This window comes from Homo sapiens, chromosome 1, assembly GCF_000001405.40.
Source record: "Homo sapiens chromosome 1, GRCh38.p14 Primary Assembly".
NCBI classification, from domain to species: domain Eukaryota; kingdom Metazoa; phylum Chordata; class Mammalia; order Primates; family Hominidae; genus Homo; species Homo sapiens.
This window is the reverse complement of record NC_000001.11, coordinates 247,633,811-247,648,714: the sequence shown is the minus strand read 5'-3', so window position 1 is coordinate 247,648,714 and position 14,904 is coordinate 247,633,811. Positions and strand designations below refer to the sequence as shown.

Sequence of the window (14,904 nt, the reverse complement as noted above, 5' to 3'; positions counted from 1 at the left end):
ACAGTCACAATACTAAAAGAAAGATTCCAGTTATGAATCTGGATTGTTTTCCAAATACTGAAATTGGTACTTATATGAGGGAACTAGGACTATTCTCGGAAGGATCAGTTTATTCCAGTGAATAATAATCATATGTGGATAAACGTCATGGAACATAAGCATGGTTGTTAAATGAGCCCAAAGCTATCAAGAGGGACTCATTTTGCTGTTCTACCTCAAATTAATGGAACACACTATTGTCTTCCTATTCACAAATACAGACACAGTGTGTTTAATAATAAGCAGATAGTCCAGCACTTTGTATGAGAATTGCATCTGGTCCCAGGTGAAACCTTAAACTTTTTGTCAAAATTTGTCTGATTTCACTGTTGCCAAGATGCCTTTGAATGAACTTGGGGCTTCATTACTGTCCAGAATGCCAGGGAGAGCTAAGTTAGAAACCCAAAGGATATTATAACAAGTTCTTCTCCTCCTGGGATCCCAACTGCAGGTGCCATTGCTTGTCGTTTCCTCTATTTAATTAAAACTTTTTAACTGGTATATTGTAGCACTCTAACAAGTCCCCTGGCACACCCAGAGCAGAGGTTTAACTGGCAGGGATCCAAGCTCCAGGAAGTTGCCAAGTAAAGAAAACAAAGCTGCTTTCAAATCCCTCTTCCCCGGTCTTTTGTATTTTGTGAGAGACTATTTAAACCATTGCTCAGCCCCTGTGGCTTTCACCTACCCCTATTATAATTTTTAAGAACTCTCACTGGGAGGCCAAGTGAGTGTCAAATGAGAGAAACTAGACTACCTCAAGAGAGTAACTCTGGGAACTGTATCTATCAGAATAAAGCAATCACATTTTGAGTTAAAGTTGTTGGGTAATAACCGATGCTTTTTCTTTGTTCCCCCACCACAAAGTTGTCTTGTTGTTGCTGTTTTTCGTATATCATCAGAATATTGGAGGGTGGAAGGAGAGGTCAGAATATTTAACTCTACTTCTTCCTGCCAGCCTATGGTCTGGCAATTGCCCTCTTCCTTTGCCTAAGTTCACAGCTACCATTGTCAGTCAATAAAACCACTCTTTCTTCTTACCCATTCAGATTTCATCTTGTTAATTCTATTATGTGACATTATTGCTTGTTGGATCTCTTAACCTTAATAACCATGTGTAAATAACCATGTTCTTTCATTAAAATCTCTTCTCAACTCCTTTGCGCAGGCCATCTGTTTTCTACCAGCTCCCAATTAATTCTCCAATAGAGACCCTAAGAACCTCACAAAACACATCAAAGTGGGTCCTTGAATTGGTTTGCTCGCCTTTATAACTTTATAATAACTTTAGACTGATAAGCCTAGATTAATTTGGAAGGATACAGAGTTACATTACCAATTGAATATGTGACCATCCAAGTTCTCTTGTGCTACAGGAAAGACATGGATTGGGAGGAGTGTGATCCTGAGAAATGGGTTGCAGACAGTTATATAAACAAAGACAAGAGTGGCAACTTTGAAACTGAAAACACTGAACATTACTTTTGGGTGTAAGAATTTCATACCCCCCACCCTGATTTGAGACAATCAGCAACTCTATACGTAAGTCTTTTCGTTTGCTTCAACTGGGTAAGTTATTCCCATGTTTGCCAGCATCTTTCACTTCCTCTAAAGCATAGGAGATTGAGATCCAGCTTCGCAGAGAAGGAGAAGTAGAGAACATGCACTGAGGAATATGGCTCATGTACTAAGAGAGCTGTAGGTCTTGACATTTTTCTTGGCATAAGTCCGAGGAACAACTATGGATGTACATTCTATGGCTTTTAGACAAAAGAAGATGTAATATAAGACTAAATATGGTAATATTCATTACCATGGGTATACTCCTGAAGGATTTATAACTTAATATGTTGGTTTAAGTGTCTGAAAAGAGCATTCATAGTCTTCTATGTTGACTAATTGAAATCCGGACTTAAAGGAGGCCTATAGTAAATGAGTATGAGATGCTAGAACTTCTGTGTCAAAGTATAGCAAGATGAATACTAAGGCTTAGTGAGATGGGTATTTATTATGGTCACTCTACCCAACTACTTGTTATCTGTACTTATGGGAGGGCCCAAAGGCCACTGTTGTTGTTGCCTTTATTTTAAATCATATTAATTTTTTTTTATTTTTAAGCAGAGCACCAGGATCCTAGAAAAGCTTGTGGCTGTCCTCAGTAGTCCATAAATAACAGTGAGGAATTACATATTGATTCCATTGGCCTCTCTGATATCAAAGAGTTTTAGAGATGTTGAAGGGGCATAAAACTCAGAGATAAGGTAGACATATCTCTGGCAGATGGTGAGCTCAGTTTCTGGGTATTCCAAACTTTCATCAAGTTCTGAGAAGCATGCCTGCTCCACCTGACCCAGTCATGACAAACTAAATACATCCCTGCATTCTGGGATAGCTCACTGAACAGCAGCTCTAACACCAGCTGCCATGCACCTTGACATTGCTCCCCTCCAGCCAAAGCTTATAAATGACAACAAGTGACACAGAGAAACCAGGGCTGTTTTCTGTCTTTATGCAAGTAAATACAGCATATACTCCTGGTAAAGTTAAAATTATACCTTCTCCTTTTAAGCCTTTTGGTTGAAGGTTTACAAAAACATGACAACTTTTGAAAATCAGATCTCTAATCCAGATAACTGAAAGAAAAAGAAAGGAAAATGTATAAAAAATAATATTGTCCGTAATACTGTCAATTCAAAACTTTACCTCAAAATTCTTTTCACTCATGAAGTAATGTTTATTAACTGTTCTTACTGAGAAGAAACTTGCTCAGGAGAAGCAAATATTCCAGAGAACAGAAATTCAGTCCAAATCTTTTTTTTTTTTTTTTTTTTTTTGAGACGGAGTCTCGCTCTGTCACCCAGGCTGGAGTGCAGTGGCACGATCTCGGCTCACTGCAAGCTCCGCCTCCCGGGTTCACGCCATTCTCCTGTCTCAGCCTCCTGAGTAGCTGGGACTACAGGCGCCCACCACCACGCCTGGCTATTTTTTGTATTTTTAGTAGAGACGGGGTTTCACCCTGTTAGCCAGGATGGTCTCCATCTCCTGACTTCGTGATCCGCCCACCTCAGCCTCCCAAAGTGCTGGGATTACAGGCGTGAGCCACCGCGCCCAGCCCGTCCAAAAATATTTTTAATGGAAAGATCAAAGATTTTTTCTTAAATAATTACAAATAGATAAAAATACACATTTTTAACATAATTTAAATTTTAATGATGAATCAGGATAATTAACATAAACAAACCATTCTTTCCATTTCTAAAGTATATCACTCATAACAGCTTTCTCTGAGACCTCTACAGATATTAGAGAACAAAAAAAGTGGTGGAATAATTTAGTTTTTAGGACATTTAACATATTAATATGTATAGCAACTTTCTTGGAAAGGATTATACTAAATAGTATTTCCCACATTTTAGCAGCTTTTTTTTAAATTTATTTTCAAAGATCATCCTGTAGGAAGGCATTACTAGATGTATACTTTGGAATACACTGCCACAGAGGTGGCTATTTAAAAAGGGGAGTAATGTGGAAGAAAGGGACAAATGAGGCTTCCCATCTCTGAGCTGCTTTGGTCTATAACTTCCCTGAAATGACTTTCCAGAAAAAGACCTTGATGTCTGCTTTCCTTTGGAGATTTTTCCGTTTCACATAAAGGCAGGGTACCACAGGTGTCACTGTGATGCACAGGAGCAGGCAATCGAGTGCCTTTTTTGAAAACTATGGTCAATAAGCCAGATCAGCCTTCTCCCCATCAGTGTCCATTCCTGTGTGTTCCTATGGGCTGACCTCTTACAGGTCAACAGTCTGCAGAACATGACTCAAAATCTCACCTGAAGGACCACGTTTCTAACCTACACTTCCTTGACAGGGTGTAAAGGACATCCTTCACCATTCCAAAAATTCTACATTTCCAACTACCACCCAACTCACACTAATCCCCTCCAAGGCTGGCTCCCTTCCAATACTTATCTCTCATCTCTATTCTGTACCTCATTTAATAGTATCACCATCTACCTAGGCACTTCAGCTGGAAAGCATGGGGAAAATGTCTGTCTGTCTCTCTCTCAGTCACATGTGCCATTAACCTCTAGGCCCCAGCATGTCCATCCTCCAATCTCCCTCAAATCTAACTTGCTCTTCTCCATTTCCAATCATACTAACTCTCAACATCTCCTGGCTTTATAACAATCTCCCATCTGGCCTCCTGGCTTTCTCTACATCATCTTCATTCTAGCTTCACTTCTGAATCACACATCTGAGCATGCTGCTACAGTTCTTTTTTTTTTTTTTTTTTTTGAGACGGAGTCTTGCTCTATCGCCAGGCTGGAGTGCAGTGGCGCAATCTCGGCTCACTGCAACCTCCATTTCCTGGGTTCAAGCAATTCTCCTGCCTCAGCCTCCCAAGTAGCTGGGATTACAGGTGTCTGCTACCACGCCCAGCTAATTTTTGTATTTTTAGTAGAGACAGGGTTTCACCATGTTGGCCAGGATTGTCTTGATCTCCTGACCTCATGATCCACCTGCCTTGGCCTCCCAAAGTGCTGGGATTACAGGCATAAGCCACCGCTCCTGGCCAGTTCTCATTTTCATGTACATATTCCCACTAAATTTTAAAGCAAGCCTCTTAGAACTAGTTGATGCCTTGCACCGGTGCTTCACAAACATGTATAAGAAGATTCATATGAGGACTGTTGCTCACAACAAAAATTTACAAACGACCCAAATTATGTGACATAATCAAGTGGAATAATAGGCAGCAAGGAAAAACAAATTAAACTGTACACACAGTTGGATATTAATAACATACTACTGAGTGAAATAAGCTAGCTCCAAGTTGCTCTATACAGAATAATAAGCTTCTTATGAAGTTCATAAATGACTAAAAGTAAATAGAATATTGTTTAGGTGCTATATTTAGGCTACACATACATGTGAACATATATACACAAACAACACATATACATACATACATAAATGTATAAATACATGCACACTGACGAAACTATGAAAACTACAAAAAAGGCAACAGAACAATCAGCACAAAGAGGTAAGAGAGACAGGCATACAGGCTGCAGAGAAAATGTACAGAGGTAAATACGGACAATGTTGTTATTCTCTGGTTGGGTGATATCATCATATATGACCATGCTATTGTTTAGCTAATTATTAAAAGAAAGCCATGCATGAGCTAAGAATTATATGTCCAATTCAGTATAGCTAAGGTATAGTGAAAGGAAGGGAGGCAGGAAGAGGGTGAGAAAAGAACTGTGTAATGCAGGAAGAAGTTTCCACGTTTAAAAGAGGACTTGAGGCCGGGCATGGTGGTTCATGCCTGTAATCCCAGCACTTTGGGAGGCCGAGGCAGGTGGATGACCTGTGGTCAGGAGTTCAAGACCAGCCTGGCCAACGTGGTGAAATCCCATCTCTACTAAAAATACAAAATTAGCCAGGCGTGCTGGCAGGCGCCTGTAATCCCAGGTACTCGGGAGGCTGAGGCAGGAGAATCGCTTGAACCCTGAAGGCAGAGGTTGCAGTGAGCCGAGATCACGCCATTGCACTCCAGCCTGAGCAACAAGAGCGAAACTCCGTCTCAAAAAAAAAGAAAAAAGAAAAAACAAACAAACAAAAAAAGAGGACTTGAAAAAGACCTAGAGCAAAACCATGTTAATGGAAACCAGCTATGTGGGTCTGACAGTCAATGCTTTTGGTAAACTGTAATCTGTGGCCTATCTACAGGGAAGTGATTCTCCAAAAGAGCATTCAAGCAGCACAGATCACCCCAGCAGTGCTATCTGCTCCCTCCTCCTGAGCTTGCCAAGATTTGGGGGTTTTGCTTAGGCTTCCCCATTCCTCGATCCTAAAGCACTCCAAGCAAATAATGTTGGTACTGTTTATCCCTACATGCAATGTGCCATATGAAATCTTGAGAAAGTTGCCCATGTCAGTCTATTTTGTTTTTTAAAAAGGATGATTATAAAATAAAGTGAACATCTGAATCTCTGGCCAAGTGAACCTCAGCCTCCCTTATAAACCTCAATATGCTCATCTTCATTTACTACGAAGCAATAACTCTTCAAATTCTTAAGCAAATAATACAATATTCATTGCAATCTGGATCTCCCTACATGTCTTTCATTGATCAACTGTCAAGGACGTTAAGGAGATTCTCAAGACTCCTCAAAAGTTGGGGGCGTGTGTGTAAGGGGAGAGATTTGTGACCAATTAAAATGCAGGAAAGTTAAATAACATTTCCAACTTCCTGGTTTGAGGCACAAACACATTTGGTGTTGAAGGAAAAGGATCAGGAAGAAACAAAACTATAATTTATAGCTTAAGTATGGTCATGGGACAGGAAATAATGTGTGGCACTTACAAATTCCATGTCCAAGCCAGGAAAAGCAAAACAGAAACAAGGACCAAGAGGGTGGTAGTTAACCTAGAAAGACTGAGGACTAAGGAAGTCCCTACTGCTGACCGAGCCCATACCAAGCAAAACCAGCAAGTGACAAGCAGCTCTCAACCCCTTTGGCTTCCTGCCTACCCTGAGATATTCTTCCCAATAATTCAAATCTAAAAGGTTTTGAGCAGCATGGGAATTAAAAAAGAAAAGAAAAACCCACCTCTGTGAAAGAGTGGCTTATATACAGGTGATCGTTTTGGATGGCACACCTTAGCATTACTAAGTTAATGCATCAGAAAGGTCGCAAACCCATCCTCTGTAAATCGGGACAGAACTGTGCCCTCTACTTGTTTTCTGCCCGAGCTTCATTCTTGACTTCTGAAGTTAATTTTAATGGTTTAAGCCCTTCCTCTCTGTTTCCAAGAGTTTTGTTTAACTTTCTTTTATCCCCCACTCACACCCTGACAGATTATGGTATGAAATAACAAAAAGTCCATCGACTTTGAAATCAGATAGACCTGGGTTTAAATCAGATAGACCTGATGCTTCATCTCTGAATCTTATCTGTAAGCTTCTGCAAAATGGACTAGTAATAACTACTCCTGAAGTTCTTCTGAGTGTTAAATGAGATAATGTATGGAAACATATCATGTCTGTTGTAGTAGATATGCTACAGTGACACAGCACACCTACTCCAGGACAAATCATTCATGCCTCGGATAGTATCTGGAACAGTTAGCTACTTAACTGCAATCATCTTCTCAATACATTTACCAAAATACAGAAAAGTGCCATGCATCAGTTACTTGTGAAAATTCTATCTCCAGTCCCGATCTCTCTCCCTTGAGTTAGAGCCCTGGATTTGTGGCTACTTCGTGAATATTACTATCTACTAGTGACTTTAGAATTGGCTAGAATTCATTTTATGCCATTGCTATTAGAAATAGGAAAGCAGACCTCAACACATGAATTCATTTGGCCTTTGTTATATATACATAGACAGGATAGGAAGTAGGACTTAGGTCACCCACCTCTCTATTTCCTGTATTTCTCTAAGTGCTTCTTGATGTCTCTCCACCAGCTGGACCACATAGAAAAGCAAATTTATCACCACACTTCCTCCAAAATTAGCTCCCCCTCTGGACTTATTTCTGTTAATTGAACCTTAATTTTCCTGGTCTGATTCAGGACTTGCAATGTCCTTGGCAAGATTTTCTGCCTTCTTCTACACCCACCCACCAGTCCCTGCATCCATTTGTTACCAAACTACCATAATTTCGTCTTTCACAAAGTCTCCTGTCTATCCTTTCCTTTTAGTTTCACCTTGACAGCACACTCTAGAACCTCATTACCTCACACCAGGACAAAGGGGTCCTACCTAGACGCCCTTCCACCTGCCCATCTAATCCCAAACACTCTGTGCACACTGCCACTTTCACCATCCCATATCCACGCTTCGCAGAGACACCTGCAAAAACACTTGCAATGCAAGACTCAGCCACAACTGAGCCTCAGAGTGTGACATCTAGGGGACACCTTGACAAAGAACCACAGGAGAAACCAAAGAGGTGGGTAAAGAACCAGGAGAGAAGACTCCAGAGAAAGGTCAAGACCCGGGGGCAGGCACCAAAAAAAGAGATGAGAACGGCAAACTTTGCCCTTTCGCAGCCCAAAGTCCTCCAAGTAAATGTCAGAAGCCAGCAAATGCCTTGGGGAGCTGATACGGAGCCCTGACTCATCTCTGGAGGAGCAGAAGAGGTTAATCAGAAATCTGTGCAAGTAGAACAAGGGGTCGGAAGACTGATCTAGCTACACGGGAGGCCAAGGTGACGCGGAGGGACTCACTCACAGATGCTGAGGGCTCAGCAGGGTCCGCACGGGGTCTAAGGAACGCAGCACCGAAGCCATTCTGCGTTGCTCAAGCACTCCGCGGACACGCGCTCGGCTCTCACATCCTGGAGATGTTCGTTATCCCGGGAAGATGTTTATCAGAAGAGAATTTCAAACAGAATAAGTAACTTTTTAGTAAATGTCCTCAATTAAACTCCCGCCTTAAGGCAACTGTTGAATTTTCCCCAATGCTGGAGGATACATGTGATGACATGAAATGTTCCTATTTTCCAAAGTTTTCATCTACCAAGTCGTTCATGTACGGTTTAGCACCGTTAATATAAGTTCACTCCTCAAAGTAATAGGTTCTGTGACAGAAGATTCTTGGTCCTAAATTTCTGATTCAAAAATGGGAAAAAATTCCAAGATATAAAAGCTGTTCACCAGTATTCCGGTTAAATGTATAACATCATAGAACAATATGAGTGATCATTGAGTCACCTTTCCCAGATGTCTCACAGAAAACCTCCTCTGACTATAATGCCCATGGAAAATCATCTTAATTCCAGAAAGCGGGGGCTGACGGGACACTGTTGAGAGGGTGAGTCACGGAAAATCACGAATGGTGGCAGGCGCCCCGCCTCAGTTCCCCTCGGGAGAGGGCACCCGCCAGTGCGGACCGCCAAGGGGCGTCCAGGACAAGGGCGGTTGGGCTCCGCGGCCCCAGCGTCCGCCCAGCGCGCCCTCCCGCGCGGCCTCGTCCCAGCCTGGCCCAGGTTCCGAGTCCCCAGTCGCGGGCGTCGTGAGGCTCGAGCGAACCCCCAACAACCGCGCCTCGCCAGGGCCACCCCGCCGCTCTGCGAGGTTCCCGGCGGCCCAAGGGCGGGATCCTCAGGACGCAGGCGCGCGCCTCTGCCGCAGCCGGGGGAGGAGCGCGGCGGCAGCAGCGACCAGTAACCGTTAGTGGAGCAGCCCCGCCCCCACGGCCGCCAGGCCCGCTCCTCCCACTCCGCCTCCTGAGCTGGAAGCTGAGAGAACCCAGGGCCCGGGCTCCAACTTCCAAGCCTGTCGCAGAGCCTGGCAAGCTCCCTTCGGGGAAGACTAGACCGACGTGCCTTAACTATTAAGTTGAAAAAGCGAAGTAGTATAAAAAGGAGATAGAGTAATAAGTGCCAAAATACACTCTGATGCACTCGTCCCTTTTTCGTCTGTCTTCCAACTATTGTCATTTTTCCAGTCAGTTAATTTCTCCTCTGCTTTTCCTTCATTTTCCTGAGTTGTTCTTCGCTCTCTGCCTCTGCTTTTCCTTCATTTTCCTGAGTTGTTCTTCGCTCTCTGCCCCTCTCCCTCCTCCACTTTTCCCCTATGGCAGTGAATCAACTGTGTGACCCCAGCTGTCACAACTGCTGCTGAGAGGGTGTGGATAAGTCACAGCTCCCAGCTCACTTTCTCACCTGTACAGCTGGACTGACCACACCCTCCTCCCGGGGTTATTGTGGGGTGGAGCAAGTCACCGATCTGGGAGGTGCTCATTTATTCTTATCATAAAATGGGGATCCCCCGCTATGGGCTGGGCACTGGTATCAGGACCCAGGAGCACAGTTCCTGGGCTCAGGCATCGCATAACCTCATGGGAACAGCAACCAGAGAAGAATTTCATGAGGATGAGCTCCATGCACTATCCTCACTCCAGGCCTCTTCCTTTTCCTTCGCTTTTACTTTGCATCTTAATGCTCAAGGCTAATGCCAGAAAAAAAGGTGAAGTACGCAAAGGGTGTCTAGAGCATCTCAAACTTCTTTATCTCAACTTTACCTCCCTCTCGTGATGGGCTCTGCTCTTTTCTCCACCCCATCCCCAATTCTGTGAAGTTCAGCAAATGCTAACTGCACAGTCCTTGTGCAGGCACTCTACCAGGTGCTGAGAAATCAAATAGCATAATTTCAATATAAAAGTGAGAGTACTGAAATCAAGGGAACATATCTAAGTCATCTGTTGCTGCCAAATGCCCAGATACTGTTTTCCATCAACAGAACTTTCCTGGGCCTCCACCATGGCTTTATGCCCCAGCAGGACAGAGCTGCCCTCCTGGTTGATTTTACATTTCTAATGAAATCTTTTTTTTTTCTTTTCTGTCCCCATTGTTTATATTCCCAAGCACACTGCAGAGCTCAGTTCCCAGCCAGATCAAGCTGCCACGTGACCTTGTTGGTTCTTCTTCCCGCCTGGGCTCTGCTCCAGTTCCTCAACATCCTTCCTGCTCATGGGGAAGGTCTCACCCCAAAGTGGCCCTGGGATTCCGTCTTGCATATTTTCATATGTGTGTGTGTGTGTGTGTGTGTGTGTGTGTGTGTTTGCAAACTAAACTGATTCACTCCCACCTCTTTAGACCTCCTTTAGAAAGGAGAACGCAGACTGGGTGGCTGTGAGCAGCACTTACCATTCTCCATGGCCTTGGTAGGGCCCCTTGAGCCCTGCTTGCTTCTTCACACAGAAAGGAAACTAAAGAGCTTTCTTGGCAATCAGTAACTCTCCCAAGCATATTTGTGTTTTCACACAGGATTTTAATTTCTACCACTGTAGGAGGCACTAGGTTCATGTTCTGGAAAAGTTAGTCCCCATGCTGCCTCTGAAATTGTATCCACAAAGACAGTTGTTCATTTTAAGTGGCAATTAGGATGGTGAGGAATTCAAAACCATGCCTAACAATAAGAACAGTAATAATAATAACCCCAGCCATTAATTGAGCTTTTAGTAGGAATCAAACATTCTTATTTAATCTCAGTGCTTTATAAACACTATCTTATTGAATCTTCACTGACATCCTATGAGACATTTTTATTCCTGTTTCACAGGGGTCTGTTGGGTGCACAGGAATCATGTCTTTCAAAGAGCACCAAGTGCAGAGGCCATGGCAAGGCCCCTGGACTCAAGTGGAAAGAAGAGGAGCAAACGTGTTCCCAAGCCCATGTTGAGACATCACCATTCCAAGGACACCCAGAAATAGCTGAGGAGGAATTTAAGGAGACAAGAGAAACATGGGATTAAGATCTTGTCAAGCAAGTGAAGATTTGGAGACATGGAGCTATGCATGTGAATATGCCTGGACATTCATGAACTTATTTACACTCATGAACTCCTGAAACCTAGGAGAGGTTGAAAAATTGCAAATCTACTTGCTCCTTCTCCGCACCCAGGCTCTACTTCTAAGTTATTGCCAACTGCTCATGGCTGAAAGCCCACATCCACTTCCGTCCTTCATCAGCCACATCAGGCTGTTAGTTTTCTTGGCCCTCCAACTGCCCACCTACTCTTCCCTGCCTGGGTTGGTTTTCAGACACTTGGACTTCACTGATCTGCTGTTCTTCTGAACAATGGACTCTGCTCTCCCATCTGAATTTTTGATACTCCCATTGTGTTATCATCAAAAATATATATTTGGGCCAGATGCAGTGGCTCACACCTGTAATTGTAACAGTTTGGGAAGCTGATGCTGGAGGAACCCTTGATGCCAGGAATTTAAGACCAGGCTGGACAACAAAGGGAGACCCCATCTCTACAAAAAATGAAAAAAAAAATTACCCGGGTATGAGTGCATGCACCTTAGTCCCAGCTACTTGGGAGGCTGAAGCAGGAGGATCGCTTGAGCTCTGACATGACCCTGTCTCAAAAGTTAGGGTCAAAATGTTTATCTATTTGGTCTTTGCCCTTGATTCCTGGCAAAAAGGCACCTGAAATTCTTGGAATTTCCTGAGTGATAGGAGTTTCTTCCATTATTCATAAACAGCCCCTTTTGATCTTACCTGAGTTAATGCTAAGAGGTGACTCTAGATGGCCCTTACATAGCTTCTAGATGGGTGCTGGTGGCCAGGGCAACCGACCACATGAATAGAGGGCTGAACTCTCAGCCCTACCCCCTGATCTGCAGGGAGGGGACAAGGGCTGGAGATTGAGTCCAATCACCACCAATTGCCATCAATCATGCCTATGTAATGAAACTTCAGTAAAACTCCTGAAACAGCGAGGCTGAGCTTCCAGGATGGTGAATACATTGAGGTGCTAGTGCCCCCAGAGAAGACAGGGAACCTCCATCCCCACCCCACCCCTTACCCTGTACATCTCTTCCATTTGGCTGCTCTTAAACTGTATCCTTTAAGATAAACTGTGACTGTAAGTAAAGCGCTTTCCTGAGGAATGAGCCATTCTAGAAAATTCTCAAACCTGGGGACAGGAGTGATGGAGTCATAGTTTGAAACAAACTACCAACCCTCACATTTTTAGTGAGCTAGGCAGAAGTGTAAATAGCCTGAGGACCCCATTTCTGGCCTGCATATGAAGTGGAGGTGGTCTTGGGGAACTGAGCCCTTAACCCCTGGGGTCAGCGCTAACTCCGGCTAGTGTCAGAACTGGACAGAATTGTTGGACACTGAGCTGGAATAAGAGAATTAGGGTACTGGTTATTGTTGGAATAATAACACCTATAATAATCAGGCTGTTAATATTTATCTTAAATAGATCCAACATTCCGCTGCTGCCAGGTGTTGAGGAAATGCACACACCCTCATGAGAGAGACACAAACCATCACAGAGCATCAGGTAAGCCCCTCCCACACCCTCCCATGCCAGCCAGAGCCACCATTGTCTCTTGCCAGGATTGTTCCAACAGCCCACAATGGTCCTTCCCAGTTCTTCCTTCGACCTTCTACAGGGCAGCTAGAAGGGCACTGTAAAATAATCGGTCAGATCACATCACTCCTCACAGCCCTGCAGTGGGCCCCTCTTTCCTCCATGGTGATCTGCTACTCAGCTGCCTCTTCACCTGCGTGTTCCACTTCCCTGGCCCTCACTCACTCCCCTCCAGCTATGCCAATCTCTTCCTCGTTCTTGGAACATGCCAGGCGGCTTTTACCTAGGGACTTTGCACATGTTTCTCTGTCTGGAACATTCTTCCACTAAATAGCTTAGGACCAATTCCCTTACCTCCTTTAAGCTTTTGCCTAAATTTCAGCTACTGCACAATGTCAACCCTGAAAATGCTATTTAAGACAATGGCATTCTCTAGATTCCTCCTCTTTGGACATCTCTGAAAAAAAAGGCATCTATAAGTCCTTGGGACAGACACTTGGGTGAAGGGGTGGCTGTGGGAGCAGCTTCAGCAGACTTAAACGTCTCTGCCTGACAGCTCTGAAGAGAACAGCAGATCTCCCAGCACATCCTTCAAGCTATGATAAGGGACACACTGCCTCCTCAGGTGGGTCCCTGACCCCAGTGCATTCTGACTGGGAGACACCTCCCCGTAGGGGCTGACAGACACCTCATACAGGAGAGCTCCAGCTGCCATCTGGTGGGTGTCCCTCTGGGACAAAGTTTCCAGAGGAAGGAACAGGCAGCAGTCTTTGCTGTTCTTCAGCCTCCGCTGGTAATACCCAGGCAAACAGGGTCTGGAGTGGACCTCCAACAAGCTCCAACAGACCTGCAGCAGAGGGGCCTGACTGTTAGAAGGAAAACTAACAAACAGAAAGGGAGTGTATCAACATCAACAAAAAGGGCATCCACTCAGAGACGCCATCTGAAGGTTACCAACATCAAAGACCAAAGGTAGATAAATTCATGAAGATGGGGAGAAACCAGCACAAAAAGGCTGAAAGTTCTAAAAACTAGAAAACCTCTTCTCCTGCGAAGGATCACAACTCCTCGCCAGCAAGGGAACAAAACTGGATGGAGAATGAGTGATGAATTGACAGAAGTAGTCTTCAGAAGTAGGTAGTAACAAACTCCTCCAAGTTAAAGGAGCATGTTCTAACCCAATTCAAGGAAGCTAAGAACCTTGAAAAAAGGTTAGATGAATTGTTAACTAGAATAACCAGTTTAGAAAAGAACATAAGTGACCTGATGGAGCTGAAAAACACAGCATGAGAACTTCGTGAAGCATACACCAGTATCAATAGCCAAATCGATCAAGCGGAAGAAAGAATATCAGAGATTGAAGATGAACTCAATGAAATAAAGCAAAAAGACAAGATTAGAGAAAAAAGAGTGAAAAGAAATGCACAAAGCCCCCAAGAAATATGGTACTATGTGAAAAGACCAAATCCAGGTTTGATTGGTGTTTCTGAAAGTGATGAGGAGAATGGAACCCAGTTGGAAAACACTCTTCAGGATATTATCCAGGAGAACTTCCCCAACCTAGCAAGACAGGCCAACATTCAAATTCAGGAAATACAGAGAACACCACAAAGACACTCCTCGAGAAGAGCAACTCCAAGACACATAATCATTACATTCACCAAGGTTGAAATGAAGGAAAACATGTTAAGGGCAGCCAGAGAGAAAGGTCGAGTTACCCACAAAGGGAAGCCCATTAGACTAACAGCAGATCTCTCTGCAGAAACCCTACAAGCCAGAAGAGAGTAGGGGCCAATATTCAACATTCTTAAAGAAAAGAATTTTCTACCCAGAATTTCATATCCAGCCAAACTAAGCTTCATAAGCGAAGGAGAAATAAAATCCTTTACAGACAAGCAAATGCTGAGAGGTTTTGTCACCACCAGGCCTGCCTTACAAGAGCTCCTGAAGGAAGCACTAAACATGGAAAGGAACTACTGGTACCAGCCACTGCAAAATCATGCCAAAATGTAAA

General features: G+C 43.8%; 1 long non-coding RNA gene across 2 annotated transcripts in view, besides 2 other annotated features; it reads left to right on the top strand.

Annotated features, from left to right (window-relative positions):
• Nucleotides 309-1,206: an enhancer, noted in NCBI's record as "OCT4-NANOG-H3K27ac-H3K4me1 hESC enhancer chr1:247810811-247811708 (GRCh37/hg19 assembly coordinates)". NCBI's record gives its function as "activates a minimal SCP1, AML or CMV promoter by ChIP-STARR-seq in naive H9 embryonic stem cells {active_cell/tissue: H9 hESC(naive)}" and the evidence as "EXISTENCE:reporter gene assay evidence [ECO:0000049][PMID:30033119]".
• LOC102724446 (uncharacterized) overlaps nucleotides 7,861-14,904 on the top strand; it is a 75,216-nt gene continuing 68,172 nt past the window's right edge. The window contains exons 1-2 of one of the 2 annotated variants that reach the window (NR_188589.1): nucleotides 7,861-8,004; nucleotides 12,780-12,860. This is a non-coding gene — a long non-coding RNA (uncharacterized LOC102724446). Of the gene's footprint in view, nucleotides 8,005-8,511; nucleotides 8,868-12,779; nucleotides 12,861-14,904 lie in introns of those variants that run through there. The other variant, NR_188590.1, reaches the window with a different exon arrangement.
• Nucleotides 8,852-9,050: a silencer, noted in NCBI's record as "fragment chr1:247802967-247803165 (GRCh37/hg19 assembly coordinates)". NCBI's record gives its function as "represses an EF-1alpha promoter that drives an FKBP-Casp9 reporter gene in an ReSE screen in phorbol 12-myristate 13-acetate-treated (for megakaryocytic differentiation) K562 erythroleukemia cells {active_cell/tissue: K562(+PMA)}" and the evidence as "EXISTENCE:reporter gene assay evidence [ECO:0000049][PMID:32094911]".